General features: G+C 39.8%; 2 protein-coding genes and 1 long non-coding RNA gene across 27 annotated transcripts in view, besides 5 other annotated features; 2 read left to right on the top strand and 1 right to left on the bottom strand.

Annotated features, from left to right (window-relative positions):
• FAS (Fas cell surface death receptor) overlaps positions 1–15,470 on the bottom strand; it is a 53,010-nt gene that overhangs the window by 18,462 nt on the left and 19,078 nt on the right. For 9 of the 19 annotated variants that reach the window (NR_028036.4, NR_135313.2, NR_028033.4 and 6 more), the window contains exon 1: positions 7,692–7,800. Coding sequence is in view for 12 of the 19 variants with exons in the window: in NM_000043.6 (NP_000034.1) it covers positions 7,692–7,721 (30 nt within the window). In the remaining 7 variants the exon portion in view is untranslated. The other 10 variants (XM_006717819.4, XM_011539764.3, XM_011539765.3 and 7 more) reach the window with 5 other exon arrangements.
• On the top strand, positions 5,623–7,176 carry FAS-AS1 (FAS antisense RNA 1). The gene has a single exon (NR_028371.1). It is a non-coding gene; the product is annotated as an FAS antisense RNA 1 (long non-coding RNA).
• Positions 6,865–6,944: an enhancer, noted in NCBI's record as "active region_3733". NCBI's record gives its function as "activates an Ori minimal core promoter by ATAC-STARR-seq in GM12878 lymphoblastoid cells {active_cell/tissue: GM12878}" and the evidence as "EXISTENCE:reporter gene assay evidence [ECO:0000049][PMID:35858748]".
• Positions 7,075–7,484: an enhancer, noted in NCBI's record as "active region_3732". NCBI's record gives its function as "activates an Ori minimal core promoter by ATAC-STARR-seq in GM12878 lymphoblastoid cells {active_cell/tissue: GM12878}" and the evidence as "EXISTENCE:reporter gene assay evidence [ECO:0000049][PMID:35858748]".
• The window catches only part of ACTA2 (actin alpha 2, smooth muscle), a 56,264-nt gene continuing 48,054 nt past the window's right edge, over positions 7,261–15,470 (top strand). For 3 of the 7 annotated variants that reach the window (NM_001406468.1, NM_001406471.1, NM_001141945.3), the window contains exon 1: positions 7,261–7,659. The gene's annotated coding sequence lies outside the window, so the exon portion shown is untranslated. Of the gene's footprint in view, positions 7,660–13,643; positions 13,802–15,470 lie in introns of all 7 variants that reach the window. The other 4 variants (NM_001406467.1, NM_001320855.2, NM_001406462.1 and 1 more) reach the window with 3 other exon arrangements.
• Positions 7,625–8,135: an enhancer, noted in NCBI's record as "H3K4me1 hESC enhancer chr10:90750220-90750730 (GRCh37/hg19 assembly coordinates)". NCBI's record gives its function as "activates a minimal SCP1, AML or CMV promoter by ChIP-STARR-seq in naive and primed H9 embryonic stem cells {active_cell/tissue: H9 hESC(naive and primed)}" and the evidence as "EXISTENCE:reporter gene assay evidence [ECO:0000049][PMID:30033119]".
• Positions 8,136–8,647: an enhancer, noted in NCBI's record as "H3K4me1 hESC enhancer chr10:90749708-90750219 (GRCh37/hg19 assembly coordinates)". NCBI's record gives its function as "activates a minimal SCP1, AML or CMV promoter by ChIP-STARR-seq in primed H9 embryonic stem cells {active_cell/tissue: H9 hESC(primed)}" and the evidence as "EXISTENCE:reporter gene assay evidence [ECO:0000049][PMID:30033119]".
• Positions 9,055–9,104: a silencer, noted in NCBI's record as "silent region_2590". NCBI's record gives its function as "represses an Ori minimal core promoter by ATAC-STARR-seq in GM12878 lymphoblastoid cells {active_cell/tissue: GM12878}" and the evidence as "EXISTENCE:reporter gene assay evidence [ECO:0000049][PMID:35858748]".

The raw sequence follows: 15,470 nt of genomic DNA, 5'->3' as shown, positions 1-15,470 counted from the left end.
GATACTGATACCCTAACTTCCTGAGCATCCGAATGTGACTGTATCAGGAGATAGGGTCTTTACAGAGGTGATTAAGTTAAAATGGTGTTAATAGGGTAAGCCTTAATCCAATGTGACTGGTGACATTTTAAGAAGAGGAAATTTGGTATATACAACTTCCAGAGCTCTTGTATTTGGAAGGCCGGAAGGGTCCAGACTTTGGAAGAGTGTCTTGGCTTCACTGTTTTTGTTTTGATTTTTTTTTTTTTTTGCTTTTTTTTAACTAAAGCTATATAAAGCTTGTAGACAGTATAAATTTCTAAATTAAAAAAAAAGAAGAGGAAATTTGGACACACATACAAACAGAGGAAGATAATGTGAAGACACATGGAAAAGAAGGCCATCTACAAGCCTGAACAGATCCTGCCCTCGTGGTCCTCAGAAGGAACCAGTCCAGTTGGCACCTTGATATCAGACTTCTAGCCCCCAAAACTGTAGCCACCCAGTTGGCAGTCCTAAGAATTTAATATAAGGAATGAACTATAGTCTCTTGATTCTCTTGGATTCTTGATTTGTGAGACATTAGTGTTACATATAAACTTGGGATCCCTCACAGCTGAGCCCAAGAATTTCCCATCTTGGATGATCACTGAGCTAAATAGGCAAGAGATTTCCCATGGTCTTCAGAACTAGAATTAGCAGGTGCCAATATGAACTAGAGCTACTTCTTTCCAGACTTATTGGTCCTGCTAGGCTGGGTTGAAATCTCACCACCCTCTACTGCTGAGGACAAAAATGGAGCAAGAAATGAAGTTCCACCGACTAATTCTGCTTGTCTGCTTGTAGACTTTCAGTTACTTATCAACACTTGAGGAAAAAGAAATTCTAAAAGACTAATAGTTTATTATTGAATAGTTTAAAATTTCCAATAAGATAATGCATCTCTAATATATCTGTGTAAAAAACAGGGATATAGTGATGTCATCTTGTCCTACTACATTATTGAAAACCTGAAATAGAAGTAAAATAAATTTTTCTACATGGAAGAGATAAGCAAAGATCCCATTCATTTGTATGTTTTTCAAAATCTGTACATAAAAATACACATGGTAATCTTATCCCAGGGATGTCCTCTTTCTTTCTTAAAGCCAATCTCTGGAAAGTCCAGGACAGAGGTAGTTGAAGCAACAGTTGCAAGTTACTGATTAGATCCATGACTGGCCAAGCCATAAATAAAATAAAATGAATGAGCCTAGGAAATTCCATCTGAAATTACATTTTGAGTTTAGTGCTAGAGTCAGAAAAATAGTTCTCAAGACCCCGACAGACATCAGAATCCTGTAGTGATGCATTATTTAATAAAAAGTGCTAAGGCCCCTACATAGACCTAAGGAATCAGGATCTCTGAGAATGGGGAAGTACCCTTGGTGATTTTGAGGTTCATCACAGTTGCAGGGCAACTAGGTTAGAGGAAGCAGAATCTGAGGTTAGCAGGTTACTACATTTACATGTGAGAATATAAGAGTTTTATAGACTAATGGCATCTGTGTTCAGCACTTGCAAATCAGAATTTGACTTCTCATGAAGAAATAATGACCCTTCCAAAAATAAGCTTGAAGATAAGAGAAATGACCTTTGGTAGAGGAAATGGGTAATGTAAGGGCTATAGAGTCCTAAAATACAGCCCCAGAGCCCTTACAAGCCCAGAGGGGCCACGTGGGTCATACAAGAATAAAGCAACCTGGGATAAGGGACTACAGAGAGAGGGAGGGGCTTGGGACCAGCTCTGCCTGTGGCCACTACCTGTGGGCAGTATAGGCCCAGGGTTTTTTTGTATTATTTTTATTCGACAAATAAAAAAATTATATATATTTATGGTATATAACATGATGTCTTGAATTATGTACATATTTTGGAAGATAATTATGTACATATTTTGGAAGATAATTAGCTAAATCGAGCTAATTACATTGGGCATTCCTTCACATACTTATCATTTTCTTTTGTGTGTGTGTGGCGAGAACACTTAAAATCTACTCTTAGTAATTTTCAAGTATACAATACATTGTTATTAGCTATAGACATCAAGTTGTACACTAGATCTCTTGAACTTATTCCTCCTAACTGAAATTTTGTATCCTTTGACCAATATCTCCCTAAATCCCCCAACTTTGCCCCCAACTAGCCTCTGGTAACCACTATTCTACTCTCTACTTTTATGGATTCAAAACTTTTAGATTCCACATATAAACGAGATCATGCAGTATTTGTCTTTCTGTGAGTATAGGCCCAATTTTTAAAATCAAGCCTGAAACCTTACAGACATTCACATGAAAAAAAACAACAACAACCAGTTAATTAGGACCAATGATCTCTGTGAGAATGGCTAAAAACCAAAGCTAAATCCTCAGCAAAAAAACAAGAGTCTTCACCCGCATACTCTGACTTCCTCTCGCTCTCTTTTTCAAGATATCTGCCCTCACAAATAAAAAGTATTCACATTTCTCATATCTTATATTTTTATAGCCTCACAAAACACAGAGGTGAATAGAAACACAATGCTGCCTGACTTCATTGAAGGACAGGCTATCATTAATGAATCCAATGTCAAATTGTCAAATTTACTCTAATTTTGCCAGTTTATCCCAGTCCATGCCTTAACACAACCTATAGTAAGCTTGCTCACTTTGCTGGGCTGAGTACATCTGCTGATTGAATTTGTAGTCAGATTTGCTAATTCACAAGGCTGGCCTTGCTCTAAAGGTATGATTTTTTGTTTCTTTGTTTTCTTTGTAGACGGAGTCTCACTCTGTCGCCCAGCCTGGAGTGCAGTGGCATGATCTTGGCTCACTGCAACTTCCACCTCCCAGGTTCCAGTGATTCTCCTGCCGCGACCTCCCGAGTAGCTGAGATAACAGGCACGCCACCACACCCAGCTAATTTGTGTATTTTCAGTAGAGTTGGGTTTTTGCCATGTTGGCCAGGCTGGTCTCAAACTCCTAATCTCAAGTGATCCATGATCCACCCACCTTGGCCTCCTGAAGTGCTGGGTGACAGGTGTGAGTCACCTGCCCAGCCTAAAGGTATAATCTTATACTAAATTCACTATCATTTCTACTTAGTGGGACTCAGGCTAGTTGTCCTATATAACTATGATTGCCATTTCTAAATGTCTAAAGATGGGGTGACTGGGCTGTACAACAGTTTATTTCAAATCAAGAAAGCAGTTGTGATCAAAGGGAAGAACCACCTCATTTCCTTCCGGGGAAGGTGAAGTTACCAATCTTACAAAAGTCAATTTCTCTCTGATTTGGGCTTTACTACTCACACTGTCACTTCAAAGACAGTAAAGGTAGGCAAGTGGACTGAAGATTTGTTCCTGCTTGAGACTGAATTGAAGATATTTAATTGGTGTTAGAAGTAGAACTATATAAAAAGCTAAAGACTTTTTTTAAAGCAAGGATTTTCCAGAAAATAAAGAGGATTTATTAAATGTTATTTTTCCACTTTTATGAATATATATATACATACATAGCAAAAAGAAAACTACACACTAAGGCTATTGTAGTGTTGTACCTTATAAGGAAGTACAAGGTACAACATATAAAATTATGTTGCTTTTTATCGTTTTGAATTATTTTATTATTTTTCATCACAAGTCCTAAAATTTTAATATGTAAGTTCTATGAGTAATTTTTTAGTAACAAGAAAAAGTCATATATATATATGTATCCCAGTACATTTAAGAAATGCTTTTTTTCAATAGTAAATTATAAAAATAAGTAATAAATTAAAAAATAAATAATAAAAATTATAGTAATCCCAGCTCATTTAATAAATGCTCTCTCTATAATGTATCCAATAAAAAATATGAGATAAAAATTATGTAGAAATAGAAAAAGGTTTGTGTAACATGCAAAGGAACAAAAAACAGACTATATATAGCTCAAATTAAACATGCAATTATGTATATGTGTAGACAAGGCTAAGAATTTATAAGTAAAATCAAAATTCTTTACATTAGTGTGGTGAGATAAAGTATAAATGTAGTTTTTAAATATTTGCTTTTTGTTTCACATCATGTGGTCATTTTTTCTATATTTACCTATTTAAAAATAAGAAAGGGATGGGTTCACTGTCCTAAATTTGGTTTCAAGTTGCTTTTTATCAATTTCAAGTTTTAAATTGTGTTATTTTATTTTTCATCATAAGTAAATAGTCTTTAGTACCTATTACAAAACATGTGCTCATCAAGGGACTTTTGGGGCCCAAGATAATTTGCCAAAAGCAATTAACTTCCTAGGGGCTTTCAAGTGGGGGGATTTCCTTACTTAGGTTTCAGACCATCTCTTAAGAAACAGTTATTCTCTCAAACTGGCAGTTTACTCTGGTAATCTGGCACCCCTAAAGCAATGTAGTAGCCTTCAAAGAGATTCCTTTGAAACACTGACACTTCTCCTATGTGTCAGTATAAGAGTATTCAGAAGGAAATTACTTGTCCAGTGTCTCAAAGAGCTTACTCAGAGACAACGTCCAAATTCCAGAACTTCTTTGCCTCTAATTTGCTGCTAAGGGTGGTAACTGTATTTCAGGCATGAACATTAGAGGATTTTTCATCAGTCTAACTATAGCTGGTAGTGGGGGTGCTGCCATTTATCAATTTAATTTTTGCTTGCAAACCTGGCCATCATTTACAAATTTGTGTTTTTCCATCCTGGTTGCTAATGTCTTAATTCATATTTTATCATTTTATTGTATTTGTAAGACTTCTCAAGTCCTTTGTGATGTAAATATGGCCCATTAAAAATGAAAATAAACAGCCCAATATGTTCGTTAGGTTGGCTTAAGAAAAATTATTAAATTACAAATTAAGCTACAAAAATAAATAAATATTCCATTTTATGCTCTTTGGGTTGGTTTAAGAAAAATGATTAAATTACAAATTAAATAACTGTTCTTTATTTTCCCCACAAAACTATTCTGTATGACTGCTTGTAAATACACAGCTTTATTTTCCAAAGGCCCTCTCCCTTTCCTTTGACCATAAGATAACCATTCTACAAAATGTAAAGGAGAGCAAACTGGCTGTCCAGTGATTGCCTGGCCAATGTCCTAAATAATGCAAGACAAAACCTGTTGGGGCCCAATAAAATAAAAATCCATGGACTCTTAGAGGCTTCGGAATTCAAATGAGCCTCATGGATCCACATCCCTTCAATTAGCAAGCTGGCATTTCTGAGCGAGGGACTTTCCAAAACAGGCTGCTCAAGTTTCTTGGCCAATAACAGGGTCATGCACAATAAAAAAAAAAAATGCAACCCACAGCTATTTCTCAAATTAATTTGTAAAGTAAGTTTGACTCTTTTTCTGTCTCCTTTAGAAATTTGTCAACTTTTTGGGATTTCAAACTTTTTTATTGTAAGTGTCGGAGTAAAAACACTCAGAAATAGGAAAGAGAAAACTAACACCAGGAAGGTTGAGAGAAGGAAAGAGAAAGAGAAGCAAAAGGGGTTAAGGATGGGGATACTTGTTGACTATAGTTATCACCAGAGTCAGAGGACTAGGGGAAGAGGGGAAAAGCAGAAAACAGCTCCCCACCCATCTATGTCCAGCCCATTAATAGAATTAAAATTTGCTTCTGTATTCCAAGTAATTAGCACTTTGCATCTATTTTATTTATTGCTACTACTAAGAAAACATAACCGTGAAGGCATAAAAGCAAACATTTTCTGTAGACACATGAGGTGACACAAGAGTGTTGAAACTTCTTTAAGGATAAAGGCCTGATGTTAGGCATGTCGTGAGCGCAAAACCAATTTCTGTGTAACTAAATTTAAAAGAGTCATATTAGAGGGGAGAAATGGAAGATAAACTGCAAAACGTAAACAATGATTACTTAGGTGATAGAGTTATGTCTGATCTTTGTATTTGACTCATCTGCATTTATAAATTTTATTTAATAAGCCTTAATTTCCTAGGCCATATATCATATACAAATATAAGTTATACCTAACTTATAGGTATTATAATATGTATATATACATAAATGTATGAATATTTACATATGCGTGTGTGTGTGTATTCTTTCAGAAAAGCAAAGTTTTCTTCGGGCTTTAAACACGCAGCCTCTGGTAAAGGTGCTATTGGTACAAAAGTTCAACAAGCATAGCTCCAAGCTTTGACAATTTTCTTACACTTTACTAATACTGCTGTCCAAAAACTATGAGATTTTCAAAGCAGCCAACATTGCAGTGGTGCAATGGTTAATAACAAGAGAGAGAAGAGTGTGGCCTGAGGTTGTATAAATGTTTTCTCAATCTTGAATCATTAATTTTCTCCAAGGAAGTTTCTAAAGAATCCCAAATAGTGCACACTATTTCTGAAAGGAACAGGATTTTTTTTTCTAATCATAAAATGGACCCAGACATCTCAGCCTCTTGGTGTAATCTGGATATCAGATGCAATCAGCGAACAGCCTGAGTTTTGGAATTAGATCTGAGTTCAATCCCATATCTCCCATTTACTAGCTGTGTGATCTTGGCTGAATTACTGAAGCTCTCTGAACCTCATTTCGCCATCTGTAAAATGGGGATGTGGTTATCTTCCCCACTACATGGCTCTCGTGAGAATCCGCGGAGATCACATTTGTAAACACTTCTCTCGCTATGCCTGGCACTTTGTTGGGGCCCAATAAAATAAAAATCCATGGACTCTCAGAGGCTCCGGTACTCAAATGAGCCTCCTGGATCCACGTCTCTTTGATTAGCCATCTGCAAGCTGGCATTTCTGAGCGAGGGACTTTTCAAAACAGGCTGCTCAAGTTTCTTGGCCAATAATAGGCGCCGGGTTCTGTGCGGTGGGAACGAGTACCACCAACCCCAGCAGGAGACCAAGCAGAAATCACCATGGGAGTGCAAGCTAAGAAAGGGCAAAAGAAGAAAGAGAAGGGCAGAAAAACAAAACAAAATGAAACCACTCAGGCAGCGACTTACAGTCTTAAAGAGAGAATTCCCGGAAGGGAGACAAGGCAGTTTCTTTTTCTGTGTGACAATAAAAAACGGTAAACAAGCCTCCAGAAGCTCATTCAGCCCCCATATAACTTTTTCGAGAAAGAAAAGGTGCCGTTCTTCCGAGCCCTCCGGCTTAACCACTGCTTCGGTGCTGACTTATTTCCTACGTCTGAGAACTGCCAGAAAATGAGCAATATCTGTTCTGAAGGCTGCAGGCTCTCTCCCCGCCCCCGCGGGGCGGCGCGCACTCACCCACCCGCGCCGGAGCGGACCTTTGGCTTGGCTTGTCAGGGCTTGTCCAGGAGTTCCGCTCCTCTCTCCAACCGGGGTCCCCCTCCAGCGACCCTAAAGCTTCCCAGACTTCCGCTTCAATTCCTGTCCGCACCCCACGCCCACCTCAACGTGGAGCGCAGTGGTCTCCGAGGAGCGCCGGAGCTGCCCCGCCTGCCCAGCGGGGTCAGCACTTCGCATCAAGGCCCAAGAAAAGCAAGTCCTCCAGCGTTCTGAGCACCCGGGCCTGAGGGAAGGTCCTAACAGCCCCCGGGAGCCAGTCTCCAACGCCTCCCGCAGCAGCCCGCCGCTCCCAGGTGCCCGCGTGCGCCGCTGCCGCCGCAATCCCGCACGCGTCCCGCGCCCGCCCCACTTTGCCTATCCCCGGGACTAAGACGGGGTAAGCCTCCACCCGGGCAGGAGAGGGCTCACCAGAGGTAGGAGGGTCCAGATGCCCAGCATGGTTGTTGAGCAATCCTCCGAAGTGAAAGAGCTTCCCCAACTCCGTACTGAGCGGGTCCACCAACCCGCGGGAGAAGAGGCAGCTCCGCCTGGGCAGCCAGGGCTGGCCTCAGGGTGTGTTCCGTGCCAGTGCCCGCCCCTGAGGCTCCAGCCAAGTCACTCGTAAACCGCTTCCCTCACTCCCCAGAAGCGTCTTTGAACACCTGTGTGTCACTCTTGCGCGAGATCAGAGACGAGCTCACGAAAAGCCCCGGTGGTCAGGAGGATGGGAAGGAAGCCTCGCTGGGGAACGCCCGGGTTGGGGAGGGCTCCATTGATTCAGCAACTTGGCCTGCGCGCGGGTAGGGAGGGGGAGAAGTCAGGGTGAGGAAGGAGTCAGGGTTCGTTGCACAAATGGGCATTCCTGTCCCGGGGCGTTCCTGCAGTGGCTGGCATGCTCACTTCAGGTGAGGACCTCGAGAGCCGGCCTCCTGCCCTTTCTAAAGGCTTCTGCTGTAGTTCAACCTGGGAAGTTGGGGAGGTCTTGAAGGAGAATGGAGCTCAGAGCGCAGAGGTCCTGCCTGGGTACAGGAGCCTTGGCTAATTGCTGGAGTCACTCAGAGAAAGACTTGCGGGGCATTTGACTGGGCTGTCCATGTTGTGGCTGCAACATGAGAGGCTCACAGACGTTTCTGGAATGGACAGTTAACCATATGAAAAAGTACAGATGTTGCGCCATAGGGCTCTGAAAAGGGAGGGCCCCTTAGTTTTTATTTCTCAAGAGGAAAACAAAGCTAACAACTTAAGCCAAATCGCATAGCCCCAGCTATATTAAACATTCACAATTACTTCCTGTCCTTCGTTACTCATTATTTCCTGGCCAATTTTCTTTAAAAAAAAATCTTGTAATTCTTTCGTGCTCTGGTGAACACTGTTCAAAGTCACTATTGCTTTGGAACGGTAGATAGCTCTTAGGTAGTTTAGCATGAATTTTACAGAAGGTATGTTTGGATAATGACATCATTACTGAACCTGAATTTGGATGCAGTTCCAGACTGGACACACTAAAGGTTTCAGTATTCCTTTGGCATCGTCCACCAAGCTCTGCACCTCACTCTGCAACCTCTCTCCCTTCCCAATTAGATTCAACCCATTAATAACACATTAATAACCCTTTGCTTAGCCCACTGTTCATCCTTCAGGCTTCCTCTCAGTTGACATTTTCTTCTGGAGCCTGTTTGGGCCCTCAAATCTAGGTTAGGTTACCCTCCTGAGGGCTTTCCATCACCCTGTGTTTTGCATCTGTCACTGCACTTACCACCAGTCTTGTAGGTGTTGATAGGCTTGTCTCTGTTCCACCTTTCAGTAGACTGTTAGTGCCATGAGGAAGACCCTGGGCGTGCCAGCCTTGTGCACACACTCTGAGCATCTAATAGACACAAAAAGAAGTGGGATAAGGAGGATGGTATATGGGCATTCTCTGTATTATCTCTGCAAATTTTTTGAAATCCTAAAACTATTCCAAAATGAAAAGTTCATTTAAATAAAAAAATGTAAAAAGAAGGAAGGAAAAGGGGTGTGAGGGAAGGAAAGGAGAGGTAAGGGAAGAAGGAATGGAAGGAGGGAAGAGAGAAAAAAAGGGGAAAGGACAATTGACAAAATCAGTATCTCTTGAGTGTGAATTATAAGCCAGCAACTCACATATGTGGATCTTCCTTACTTAATACTTATCATTATAGCCCAGTGAGATGAGTGATTATTAAACTTACTTTACAAATAAAAAAATGTAGCCAAAAAAGCTTAAGCAACATTGGCAAAGATGGTTAGTTAATAAATAGCAGAGTCAGGAATTAAACTTAGATATTCTTGCTCCCAAGGTCCTGCTCTTTCTATGCCATACCCCCTTCCCCTACCCTCTGCCCACGTACGTCTAATTATCCTCAAGTTCAAGGAGATAGGAATATGTGCTTTGTGGGGAGACATATGTTTCATGGTCAAATAATCTTAGAAAATTCTGGGTTACTTTAATTTGAAAACTTTCTGAATCCAAAACTTCTCAGGGCCCTTAGTATGCTAATGTCAAAGGGTTGGGTAATTATATATACTGTTCCCCAAACTTCTTTGCCTTTGGAATCCTTTGAAGAATCTATTGAATGAACACCTAATGAATGCTGGTGTTCTGGGGAAAACAGTTTGGGCATCTCTAAAGGTTATTTTTATTTTACCAGCATATTCCTGAGAGTCCTCAGGCCTTCAAGGGCAAAGAAATAAAATTTTAATAATAGAATTTCAGGCACTCCAACAGATGTTGGAGATATTTTGGACAACCATCCTTATTCAAACCATACCATATAAGTTAAAGCTTCTACTCAAAAGATATCCTGGTTTCTGAACATTCTGAATAACACTTAAACAAGAATCTTGACTATGTAAAAAAACAGGAAGAGTTAAGATAAAAAACAAAACAAAAAAAAAAAAAAACTTCTACATCTTTTTACCACTAAGACTTTTGTTCTTTTCCCCTTTGGTCCTAATGTTTAAAAAATGTTGTCAACCAAATTGTTTTTACTAAATTGCAATAAGTTGATTTTAATAACTCCCAGCTATAGTGTATATCCATGACTGTTTATCCTGCCTTTCTCCTTCTTCTTCCTTCTGGTAATAGTACTTCCAAGTTGTCTTTAGAAAAACTGTCCCTCTCCCCTCTTCTTAACTATTTGATGTGAGTGGTTCTTTTAGTCAGGGTTCTCTAGAGAAATAGAACCAAGAGAATGAATAAATGGAAAGATAGATAGGAGTTGGCTCACGTGATTGTAGAGGCTGGCAAGTCCAAAACTTTAGCATTGGCCAACAGGCTGGAGACCCATGAAAAAGTTATAGTTCAAGTCCAAAGGCCGTCTGCTGGCATAATTCTCACTCACTCAGTGGAAGTCAGTCTTTTTTTTTTTCTTTTTTAAGGCCTTCAACTAACTGGATAAGGCCTATTGACATTATAGAAAGCAAATGTTTTACTCAAAGTGTAAAGATTTAAATGTTAATCCCATCCAAAACATTGCTTTACAGAAACATCTAAGATAGTGTTTGACTAAATAGCCAAGTGCCATGGCCTAGCTAATTTGATACATAAAATTAACCATCACAGTGGCATTGGTACCAATCCCAGGGCTTGGGTATATGTGTAGGTGGAGGGAGGTAGTGGGTGGGAAATGTGACTTGGCTTAAGCCAATCAGCACATCACATTCAGTTGGAGTAGATTTTGGGATCTTTACTGGAAACACTGGGACACAAACCCTTTCTTTTTCATTGGATTTGAAGTAGAAATATGTGAGATGTGAAACTGATGTGGTTGGTTGTGAAGGGAGCTTGTGGCCCTGCCAGAGCTGAAAACAGTCAACTCATGCTGAGAGGAAACCACACTGAGAGGAAACCATGCTGAAAGATCAAGGTTGGTAGAGCTATCCAAGTTCTGGATGCATTTGGTTCTGAAATTGAACCCTGGACCACCCAAAGTTACCCAACTCTACAAATTCTTAGTTTCTGCTTAAGCTAGATTCTTACAACTGAAAAAATCTTAACTGATAAATTATCAGAACTTTGATCAGTATAATAATTCTTTTGTTACAAAAGTTAATTGTTACAAATTAGCTATTCTAGTTTCAAGCTCAAGTAAAGATAATTGCTTAAACAATTCTGTAGACTGCTATCTAGGGATATTACTTCTTCTACCAAAGAATTTTTCTGTCACTAGAGGGCGTCAGAGCCCACAGTGGCCAAGTGACAAAGTCTATTAATAATTATTTCTACCAATTAATAGAAATATGTATGGGTTCTTGGGAAAGGAAGAGAGAGGACGGAGATCTTAGATTTGGATAGGTAATCTGTGAATCTAATCATATAGACATTGTCACCTCCTGGAGAACATATTATTTCCTACAGGATTAAAGAAATGACATATGCAAATCACCTAGTACACACAATAAATACTAATTTTTACTTTTACATTGCTTTTCCTAAATGAAGTGACTTCACAAGACAAATTGATAATTTGGGGGTCACAGTTCAGATGAAAAAAAGTAAGTTAAATGGCTTACAACCACTTTTCCTGTACTACTTCCTTCCTCCACTACTTCCTTCCTATACTTCTTCCTTCCTGCACTACTTCCTTCCTGTACCACTTCCTTCCTGTACCACTTCCTTCCTGCACTACTTCCTTCCTGCACTACTTCCTTCCTGTATTACTTCCTTTCTGTACTACTTCCTTTCTGTACTACTTCCATGCTCACATTCCTGAAGCCTAAGAAAAGTGTCCTAAAGCCTAACTGACCAGGGCTGGAAAACTTGGCCACCAAGATATGCAGCAAATTATTAAGTCTCCTAATTTTTCCCACTATGAAAACTGGTATACTAACCTACCTCTTGAGCAATGACTGAAAAAGACAATGCATTAAAGAATGTTTAGACTGTGGCAACTAAAAAGCAGACAGCAATTGGGTTAGTAGGGTGAAAACATCTGTTCTGTGGGCCCTGGCTTCTTAATCCAATTGAGTACCCCTCCCCTGACATTTTTGCATATGGTGGTCCCCTGAAAACACAGATATTCTATGAAAACAAACATGAGAAGCATGCCTACCCCCTGGGTGTTAAGAACTGACACAAGGAAAGATAGGGACCACTTTTCAAGAGATGTTGATTTGGGGGCAGATAAAATTTCATCCTGAGTGGGCTTAGCTTAAGGCAATGTTTCTTCAACTTCAATCTATTTTGCCATTTCTGTAGTCTACTTGTATATACTAAATATATATTTAACTAATAATTTATTTTTAAGTCAACTTATTTTGTTCCCTAAGTCATTTTGTTTTTAAAATAAAACATTACATTATAACCATAAATGGAAAATCAGCATTCCTTGCCAAAAATAGAAGGTATCCATAAAAATAAATATGCCACTATTGAAACAAAATATTTGCCTGCATGCCAATAAAAATTGTTTCCCAAACTACTAGTGGCAAGGGCATTATACTTCTGGAAAGGTTGGCTTAAGGCATGGCAGCGCTTTCTCTCTACTTTAGACTTCCTCCCTGCCCCCAAACAACCTCCAGAGAAAAGACTAGCTAGTGTGGGCCTCAGGCCCTCCTCATGGGCCTGGAAGGGAGGTGACTGGAAGGAACAAGAGACATCAGAACAGCATGAGGGAGGGGCAGTCATTGTCTCCCAAGCCCATCTAGTGCCAGGGAGTGGGATGGGGGTGGGGGACTCTTTACCAGGGCACCAGCCTTTCCCTGTTAGAAAAGGCTGAGGGGACAGCTTGAGGGAGATAATGGATGGGCAGGGAGGACTACAGGGAGTCCTGCAGAGATAGAAAGAGAATGTGGAATGGGATGTTGGAGGAGAATGGGCAGGGGAGGAGCCCCAGAGCACTTGGGTAGAAAGGAGACATAGGTGGTTTTCTGCAGAAGGCAATGTTAGTCGACTAATACAATAGTGGTATTAACATCTAGTTCAACTGAGAAAGGACAATGGGGAGAAAGAGTTTTGATTTGGATAATCTGTGCATATGAGCATATAGACATTTTCCTCTCCCTGAGAACACCCCCAAATTAGCAACTTGTCCTATGAAGGACAGAGTCCCTAGATATAAATCCTAGTTCAGTTACTTCACTAGATGTGAGAAGCTGTGCATAATATTTAACCCCTCTCAGCATCAGTTTTCTCACCTGGTAAACATAAGTCTTTCCAACAGTAATGATATGCCCAGATAGATTCTGGGAGATAAACTTGGATTTTGTTATTTTATTTATTTTATTATTTTGTTGTAGCAATTTGCCAATGGCCCCCTAAAGACCATCACCAACGCCTTTTATAGGTGGCAGTTGATATAGGCCCTGCCTATATTACCAACTAAATGTCATTTTATTTACCTATACTGCTTTCCTCCTCACTAGGCTAGAGAGCATAAGCACTGCCTGCAGCCTAACATCTTGGCTTCTCCATGAAGAATACCATATTTTTTAAACTTTCCAGAAAATAACTGAAAAGGAATCATCAGATCAGGCTCTCCCCTCCCATGGTCTCCCATTATTGCCTCTGATCAGGTCTGAAGGTGAGAAGATGTCTCTCTCTCTTTCTCTCACTCTAGCTCTTGCTCTCCCTTTCACTCTGTCTCTTCCTATATGACTTGGCCATTTAGACAGGCCCAGTGGTTTCATGAATAACTAAACATAAGAAGTCAAGAGAGGCCTGGCTCAGAGAGCATGGACCACATCAGCCTTTTGAAGTTCCCTTAGTGTATTAAAGCAAAACAAAAATCAACACAATATTGAACCAGTTTGCAAACACTGGGATATCTTATGTTTTCATATAGCAAATAGATGCATTTAATACTTAGAACTTAAATGCAGAATCACATTTGGTGCTAGTGTCATTTGCCACTTGACATATGACACTAGTGTGCTACTATCATTTAAGGCCCTTCATGACTGTGGGGTGTAATCCATTCCTACTCACTCTTAATAGATTCTGACCTATACAGGCAGAAAGGTAGTATGGGAGAGACCTCTGGGACCATAAGATCAACACCTCCCACTTTAGACTCTTCTCTACAACAGCCCTAGGAGACTACACCAGCCTTAGCTTGACTCCTTCCAGCACTGGCTCCTACTATTTCTCAAGGCAATTTATTACATATCAGAACACTTTGCAGTTGTTAGAAATTCTCCCGATGTTATAACTTCCTATAGTTTAACAAGTGTTTGCTCAACATCCACTATACAAAGAACACTACTTATAAACAGAACTAGAATAGCTCTGTGAAAAAGGAATGATAGTAACCCTCCCCTCACCTGAGGTAGGAAGAGGCATTTTACCATCTGAAACCTCCCCACAAACTCTACACAAACCTGCATGCATCTAAAGAGTTTTTTGTCCAGGCAACAAGGATAACTAGGCAGCCTAAGTCTCTGATCACAGTAAACTGAGGGAGAAATTGAGGCCTTTATCAGCCTTTGCACTGAGGAAAGACACTAAGCAGGCATTCCTCCACCTGGCTTTGAAATCCCCTTGGAATTTCCAAGTCATTCAATGGGTTTATCAAAGTTCTTTCTGAAATTTCTTCAAACTTATTTTTATTTAAACCACACAAATATGTTGAAAGGAATGGTTTAAAGGGACAGACATTTAAAAATAAACAAAAATAAGATATCAGTAATATCTAATGCTTATATAATGTCCAGAACATTTGTGTGTGTGTGTGTGTGTGTGTTTTTTTTTTTTTTTTTTTTTTTTTTTTTTGCATAACCTGTTAACTTATCTAAACCTTACAACTCCCTGTAAAGTAGGTCCTGTTACCATCCTATTTTATAGAAAAGAAACTTGGAAAGACTTGCCCAAAGTCACACAGTTACTAGGTAACAGAAGTGAACTTCCAAAGCCTATGCTGAATCCATTTCCTCTTTAGTTACCTCAGTGGCCTTATCATCAAGATGTAAACTCCCTAAGTAAGTACAAAGCCTTCTTGTTTTGTTGTTCTGTTGAACACATGGTTTCCGGTTGATTAAAACCATACTCTTGTCATATTATTTTCTTAAATTCCGGGTCATATTGACTAAGATCATAATACAGTGAGATAAGGGAACTCTTTCTTGCACTGGGTAAGTCTGCTAAGTAAGAATTTTTGCTGTTTATGTTCACTCCTCTAAGAATCATAGCTCACATAGCCATGCAAATTGGATTGAAATAAAGATAATCTAATTAAGACAGTGTGGCCATAACTC

Source organism: Homo sapiens, chromosome 10 (genome assembly GCF_000001405.40).
Source record: "Homo sapiens chromosome 10, GRCh38.p14 Primary Assembly".
Taxonomy (NCBI): Eukaryota; Metazoa; Chordata; class Mammalia; order Primates; family Hominidae; genus Homo; species Homo sapiens.
Note: the sequence above shows the minus strand (reverse complement) of the source record. Positions and strands in the feature narration are given on the sequence as shown.